At 38.8% G+C, this 7624-nt stretch overlaps 1 annotated feature.

Annotated features, from left to right (window-relative positions):
- Window positions 4851-5351: an enhancer, noted in NCBI's record as "H3K27ac hESC enhancer chr5:62265821-62266321 (GRCh37/hg19 assembly coordinates)". NCBI's record gives its function as "activates a minimal SCP1, AML or CMV promoter by ChIP-STARR-seq in primed H9 embryonic stem cells {active_cell/tissue: H9 hESC(primed)}" and the evidence as "EXISTENCE:reporter gene assay evidence [ECO:0000049][PMID:30033119]".

Below are 7624 nucleotides of genomic sequence, written 5' to 3'. Positions count from 1 at the left end.
TCTCTGAAAATAATAATGAAAAGAAGCAAGAGGAAAAGTTAAGCCATGTATACAGCGGTAGAATTAGTCCATGAAGCTGGACCGAGACTATGTTCTACTCTGCTCTTACCAGGAAATGAGCTATCAAACAAGAAGATTCTCCCCACTCCATGTTATAGCTAGTTAGGAGGAGAGAGACAGTAAAGACTCCCCAGGTGTGTCAAGGAAGCCAATCCTTCCTAGTCGCATGGCCAGCACATGATACCTATGCAGCATTTATAGAGCATGAGATGAAGATGCTCTAGGACAAGCTAGCCCTTTAGTGGACCACATCAGAGAGGCATTTCTTTGGTATAGTACCACTTTTAAAGTCTAAAATTATGATTTTGCCAGGGTACTCAGAGTTCCTCACTTTCTAAGGAACTAACATCATTCTTTCACGTTAACGAAACTCCCAACAGACTGCTGCATCTGCCAAAATTCCAATGAGAAAAAACAGACCACAAGATCCAGGGTCACTCAGTAATGCATGATTTCTCTTTAAAAATCTATTTAGAAACCACAGCATAATCAGAAAATTGTGCTGAGTGCATGGAGGCAAAGGAAAGGGAATTATTTAAATGACTTTAAAACCCTTGTCATGGTGCAATGACAGCCTCAGACATCCAAATTCAAATCAATAGAGATCTACCAGACAGGCGAGAATACACATATTCACTGATTAGGGCTGCAGTGGACTGGTTTTAAGGAAATATTTTTATGAAAAGTCTTGTAAAGAAAAACAACCTTGAGTTACATTTTGAGCAATTATAAGCAATTTTGTAGGAGTTGCAGTTAGAATCTTTACACGATATGTGATTTTAAAATAATTCAAAGCACAATTTTACTTTGCCAAAAGGCTATTCTATGAACTCCTTCCAGATAATTATAGATTAATCTGATAACAGCCACTAATTAGACTATGAAGAAAATTAGTGAATCAATTGTGGTTCTCTTGGAACAACAGTCTTCCAGAAGATTGGGTGGGAGGGAGGCTTGCTTAAAATTTCTTATTTCAGAAACAGTTTAGAGAGTAAAAACAGTAAAATTAAATGAGAAGTCTGGATAGAGGGAAACACATATTACCAGAGCAAAAGCCAAACTCGTTAGAACTGCCTGTAAATGTGACTTATGGAAAAAGAATAGATTACAATAAAAAAAGATATTTCATTCAATTAAATTTATTTAAAGTATATTATTAAAGTTAATGGCACAAAAATATGCATCAAACTAAAATCTTACATAGTCACCGCAAAATTCCCTAATTTTATGTCTGATCAAATCTTTTCATCATTCCTCCAAGCATGGCTTGGGCCTTTCAGATGTTTTCAAATTTTTCCTCTTTCTTACTAAAACAAGCTTCCACTTTACCTAATCTAATACAATGATAAAAATATTAATATAAGGTAATGAGGTCTGCTGTCTGCTAATGTTGCCAGGATACCCACTATGCCACATGACTTAAACTCTACAGAGGAATTCCCAGGGAACAAAGGGGTTACAGGTACACTCAATAAATTCCTAACTTTGCTGCTGTTTCCAAGAGCTTTGGATTTTGCTATGACTTTGACCTTAGAATGTAGCCATTCTCTTATAGATCCTTCTATTCATCTTCATGGTTATTCTTTATAACAGCACTATATTGCCAGGCTGGCCTTTCTGAGCATAGAAAAAAAATGTCTTTATTGCAGGATATATATGTGCATACAACATATATACATATGATTGCATATTGTATCTACACATACACACATACAACCACAAAGGAAGATCCAAGTTGAGCTTTGTTCCCCCTAAATTAGAAAGAATTCTGGCTTGGTACAGTAACCCGCCCTTGTAATTCTAGTATTTGGGGAGGCAAGGCAGGAAGATTGCTTGGAGCCAGGAGTTCAAGACCAGCCTGAGCAACATAGTGAGCCTATCTATACAAAAAATTTACAAATCAGCCTGTCACAGTACTACATACCTTCAGTCCTAGCTGCACAGGAGGGTATGGTGGCAGGACCCCTTGAGCCCAGGAGTCCAAGGCTGCAGTGAGCTATGTTAACACCACTGCACTCCAGCCTGAGCAACAGAGGGAAGCCCTGTCTCTAAAAATTAACAAAAGTAAAAAATAAAGAATTCTGACTGTCAGATGAACTTATCATACCATTTTCCTGTTCTGGAATGCTTCTACTTGGAAGTTAGTAGTTTTTCTTTTTCTTTTGTCTTTCCCAACCCATTTTAGAACCTGTCTTAGGTATTCAAACAATTTTTCTGTCTTTGATCTCCAATTATTATTTTCCCATTTATCCACCCATATGCCATATAAATAGTTCCTAGGCAATAGGATTGTGCTAGGAGTTGGTAACCATATAATGTAAGACATAGTCTCTACTTTCCAAATGCCTACACTCTAAGAAGGAAAACAGGTCCACATTAAAAAAAATAGAGACAGTATTTAAAATAGATTATATTCCATCACTATTAGCTGAATGCAGGAAGTGCCTCGAGAATTCAGAGACTTTAGTCTGAAGATGGATGTGGGCAAAGGAGGACTTATAGCAGTGCGGGATGGAGCAATGAAAACTTGATTTGAGATGATGGACATTTTAACACTGCCAAATTCTCAGAAAAGAATAGACTATGACCCCTTCTATAATAATTAAAAGACCTTAGGCATTGTAAAACAAAGGGTAAGAGCCTGAAGTCTAGGGGCCAGATGACCCAGTTCAAATCTGCTACTCTAAAGCTACAGCAAGTAACATAACTTGTCTATAACTCGGTTTCCTTATCCGTAATATAAAATTGTGCTAAGTATAAGTTAACACATAAAATACTTTTAATATTGTGCTTTACCCAGAGTAAGCTCCATACAAATATTTTTTGGAAATTTTTAGCCATGTTTTATTTAATTATTATTATTTTTAAAATTTTTATTTTTCCATAGGTTATTGGGGTATAGGTGGTATTTGGTTACATGAGTAAGTTCTTAAATGGTGACTTGTGAGATTTAGGTGCACCCATCATCCGAGCAGTATACACTGCACCCTACTTGTAGTCTTTTATCCCTTGGCCCCCTCCCACCCTTCCCCCCAAGTCCCCAAAGTCCATTGTATCATTCTTATGCCTTTGCATCCTCATAGCTTAGCTCCCTCTTATGAGTGAGAACATACTATGTTTGGTTTTCCATTCCTTAGTTATTTCACTTAGAATTATAGTCTCCAGTTTCATCCACATCACTGTGAATGCCATTAATTCATTCCTTTTTATGGTTGAGTAGTATTCCTTCATATATATATATATATATATATATATATATATATATATATATGCCATACTTTCTTCATCTACTCATTGATTGATGGGCATTTGGGTTGGTTCCACACCTTTGCAATTGCAAATTGTATTGCTATACACATGCATGTGCAAGTATCTTTTTATATAATGACTTCTTTTCCATGGGTAGATACCCAGTAGTGGGATTGCTGGATCAAATGGTAGTTCTACTTTTAGTTCTTTAAGGAATCTCCACACTGTTTTCCACAGTGGTTGTACTAGTTCAAATTACCACCAGCAGAGTAGAAGTGTTCCCTGATCACTGCATCCATGCCAATATCTACTGTTTATGATTTTTTATTATGGCCATTCTTGCAGGAGTAAGATGGTATCACACTGTGGTTTTGATTTACATTTCCCTAATCATTAGTGATGTTGAGCATTTTTCCATATGTTTGTTGGACATTTGTATATCTTCTTTTGAGAATTGTCCATTCATGTCCTTAGCCCACTTTTTGATGGGGTTATTTGATTTTTCTGGCTGATTTATTTGAGTTTGTTGTAAATTCTGGATATTAGTCCTTTGTCAGATGTATAGATTGTAAAGATTTTCTCCCATTCCTTGGGTTGTGTGTTTACTCAGCTGACTATTCCTTTTGCTGTGCAAAAGCTCTTTAGTTTCATTAACATCTATTCATCTTTGTTTTTACTGCATTTGATTTGGGGTTCTTGGTCATGAAATCCTTGCCTAAGCCAATGTCTAGAAAGGTTTTTCCAATGTTATCTTCTAGAATTTTTACAGTTTCAGGTCTTTGATTTAAGTCCTTAATCCATCTTGAGTTGATTTTTGTATAAGGTGAGAAATGAGGATCCAGCTTTATTATCCTACATGTAGCTAGACAATTATCCCAGCAACATTTGTTGAAAAGGGTGTCCTTTCCCCACTTAAATTTTTCTTTGCTTTGTCAAAGATCAGTTAGTTGTAAGTATTTGGGTTTATTTCTGGATTCTCTATTGTGTTCCATAGGTCTATGTGCCTATTTTTATTCTTTTTTCATTGTCTTGGTTGGATTGGGTTAATTCAAAGATCTTGTCCTCATGCTCTGAGTTTCTTTCTTCTACTTTTTCAATTCTATTGCTGAGACTTTCCAGATCATATTGCATTTCTATAAGTGTGTCCAATGTTTCCTGAAGTTTTGATTGTTTTTCTTTATGCCATCTATTTCCTTAAATATTTCTCCCTTCACTTCTTGTATCATTTTTTGGATTTCCTTGCAATGGGCTTCACCTTTCTCTGGTGCCTCCCTGATTAGCTTAATAACTAACCTCCTGAATTCTTTTTCAGGTAAATCATGGATTTCTTCTTGTTCTGGATCCATTGCTGGTGAGCTAGTGTGATTTTGGGGGGGTATGAAAGAGCCTTGTTCTGTCATATTACCAGAGTTGGTCTTCTGGTTCCTTCTCATTTGGGTAGGCTCTGTCAGAGGGAAGGTCTGGGGCTGAAGGCTGTTGTTCAGATTCTTTTGTCCATAGGGTATTCCCTTGATGTAATACTCTCCTCCTTTTTCTATGGATGTGGGTTCCTAAGAACCAAGCTGTACTGATTGTTATCACTTTTCTGGATCTAGCCACCCAGCAAGTCTACCAGACACCAGGCTGGTACTGGGGGTTGTCCACACGGAGTCCTGTGATGTGAACCGTCTGTGGGTCTCTCAGCCATGGATACCAGCACCTGTTCTGGTGGAGGTGGCAGGGGGTGAAATGGTCTTTGTGAGAGTTCTTAGCTTTGGTGGTTTAATGCTCTATTTTTGTGCTGATTGGCCTCCTGCCGGGAGGTGGCGCTTTCCAGAGAGCATCAGCTGTGGTAGTATGGAGAGGAAGCAGTGGTGGGCAGGGCCCTAGAACTCCCAAGGGTATATGCCCTTTGTGTTCAGTTACTGAGGTGGGTAGGGAAGGACCATCAGGTGGGGGCAGGGCTTGGCGGTTCTGAGCTCAGACTCTCCTTGGGCGGGTCTTGCTTCGGCTGCTTTAGGGAATGGGGGTGAGGTTTCCAGGTCAATGGAGTTATGTACCTAGGAGGATTATGGCTGCCTCTGCTGAGTCATGGCTGGAGTCTGCATGCAGGATTTGCGCCCTCCCCCCAGTTCTGGCCAGGAGGCTTCTTGACCGGTTCAGATTGTTACAAAGTTCAGCTGGTGGTTTCCTTCTCTCTGTGGCATTTTCCCCATGCCTGTGGCCACCCTGACGAAGAGTCCCTGTGGTGCCAGGCAGGAATGGCCTGCTTGGGGACCCAGCGAGCTCCCAGGGCCTTTCCCACTTCTTCCTCTACCACTGTATTTTGCTCAGCTCTCTAAATTGACTCAGCTCCAGGTAAGGTCAGAATCTTCTCCAGCAAACTAGACCTTCAGTTTCCCCAGCGAGAGTGTGTGTTCCAGGATGGAGGATTTCCCTTTTCTGCTTCCACAGTTTGCGCACTTATGGTATTTGGCGTGTCTCCCAGGTTCTGCAGGAGAAATTTGCTTTATTTAGAGGGACTGTGGGTCCTCTCAGGTTTCCTGATTTATTCCTGCAGTCATTCTGGAGCTAAAATTCATGATGTGAGCCTCCACATGCTGCTCTGTCCATCCAAGTCAGAACTGTAATCTAGTCCTGGCTCCCATTTGCCATGACACCTCAACAGAGAAGTCCTAAAACAGTCCACATTGCTACCATCTCTGTTCAGGCTGCCATAACAAAATACTATGGGCTGCTTGGCTTCCACAACAGAAATGTATTTTCTTACAGCTCTGGAGCCTAGATATCCATGATCAAGGTGCCAGTCAGTTCAGTTTCTGGTGAGGGCTCTCTTCCTGGCTTCCGTATAAATAATTGCTATTATTATTATTAACTGTGATGAGGCCAAAGGCTTCTAAAAGCACATGTAACTTACTAGCAATACTGCTGGCCACAAAGATGTGGACCTGTGATTGAATGCACATAATGCCCTGCTCTTTTCAGTAACTAGATTCAAGCACAGTTATTGAGGTAAAGGGAGTTTTAAAAAGCATAAGTAGGAGTTGAAAAAGAAAAACAGGTGATAGTGATCAGATCTCCTCCAATTTCAGCCCCTACTTTCAAATCAGATCAAACTCTGACCCCTTGAGCTTTAATATCAGAATATCAGAATGTGTTGTTAAAAATTCAAAAATTTTAAAGTAATTTTCCAAAGATTTTTTTGGCCTTCATCTTCTTATTTTGTGTACAATATTAACTTCAAAAGCACAAGCACAGCTTGTTTTTCTAAGCACTTTTTCTATTTTCATGCAAAATTCTTACTTTTCATCCTTGATGAGCATCAATAAGATGTTTTAACTTATCATTATAAGTCCCAGCAAAATGCCATATACTTTGCTTTTGCATGCTTTGACTGGCATTTAGAAGTATTGTTGGTGGCAGCTGGGCAAATGCTTTGTTTGGGGAGTGGGTGAAGATCTTTGATATTTAGCATCATGCCTCAAATTGTGATTTTTATGAAAGCATTTAGAGGGAGAATTTATGAGCTGGGGTGAGCCCATGAGATGGAAAGACAAAACATGCTAGATGTAGACGAAAACTGGAATCAATAGTAAATGCTGATGATGCAGGTGGAGGGAGGCAGCAAGTTGGAAATCAAATCTTTGTTTACTTTAAATATGCATTCTAACTTCATATTTTTGTGTCATTCTCTTTAGGAGACCTAGATACATCAACTAACCTGAAATAAGCTTATGCAACACTGCAGAGGAAAGGGAAGACAAAAGTGAAATTATTATTATCATCATCATCCTTATAATAGAGACGGTGTCTGTGTTGTGTAACAAGTACTTTGAAACAAGTTTCAGATCTTGAGAAAGCTAACATATTTTATAGTCAATCACTTAGAAACTCCTTACATAAAGTTGTATCATACAGAATCAGAAGAGTAGAGTTCACCATAAGAGAGGGTGAAGAGCCACAAAAATGGGAAGAAGCAAATGGGAAAGGCAAGTTAATAAACACATCAGAGACTGAACAGAAAAACACTGTTTTCCTTTGGAGCTGAGTATTCCCAGATCAGAATGAGTTTCTCCTCATTCCTCTCGAAAGCTCACCATTCCTATTCGATTGTTGAAAACAGATTTTAAAAAGTAAGAACGCTAGAAATGTTACCATGGTCTTAAAAATTCTGGGGAAAAAGACAGAATACAAAATTTAAATCCTGGATTTAGTGGATTCTAGGTATGTGTGTGGCTCCAGAAAGGTATAATAGATATAAGTTAAGAGCATTAGAATAACCAAAAGTCCTAGAATTATTCTAAATTTGCTGGATTCTAGGCATGTGTATGGCTCC

The sequence above is a fragment of the Homo sapiens genome, chromosome 5 (assembly GCF_000001405.40).
Source record: "Homo sapiens chromosome 5, GRCh38.p14 Primary Assembly".
Classification (NCBI taxonomy): Eukaryota; Metazoa; Chordata; class Mammalia; order Primates; family Hominidae; genus Homo; species Homo sapiens.
The sequence above is the reverse complement of the archived record's forward strand: the minus strand, read 5'-3'. Positions and strand labels throughout refer to the sequence as shown.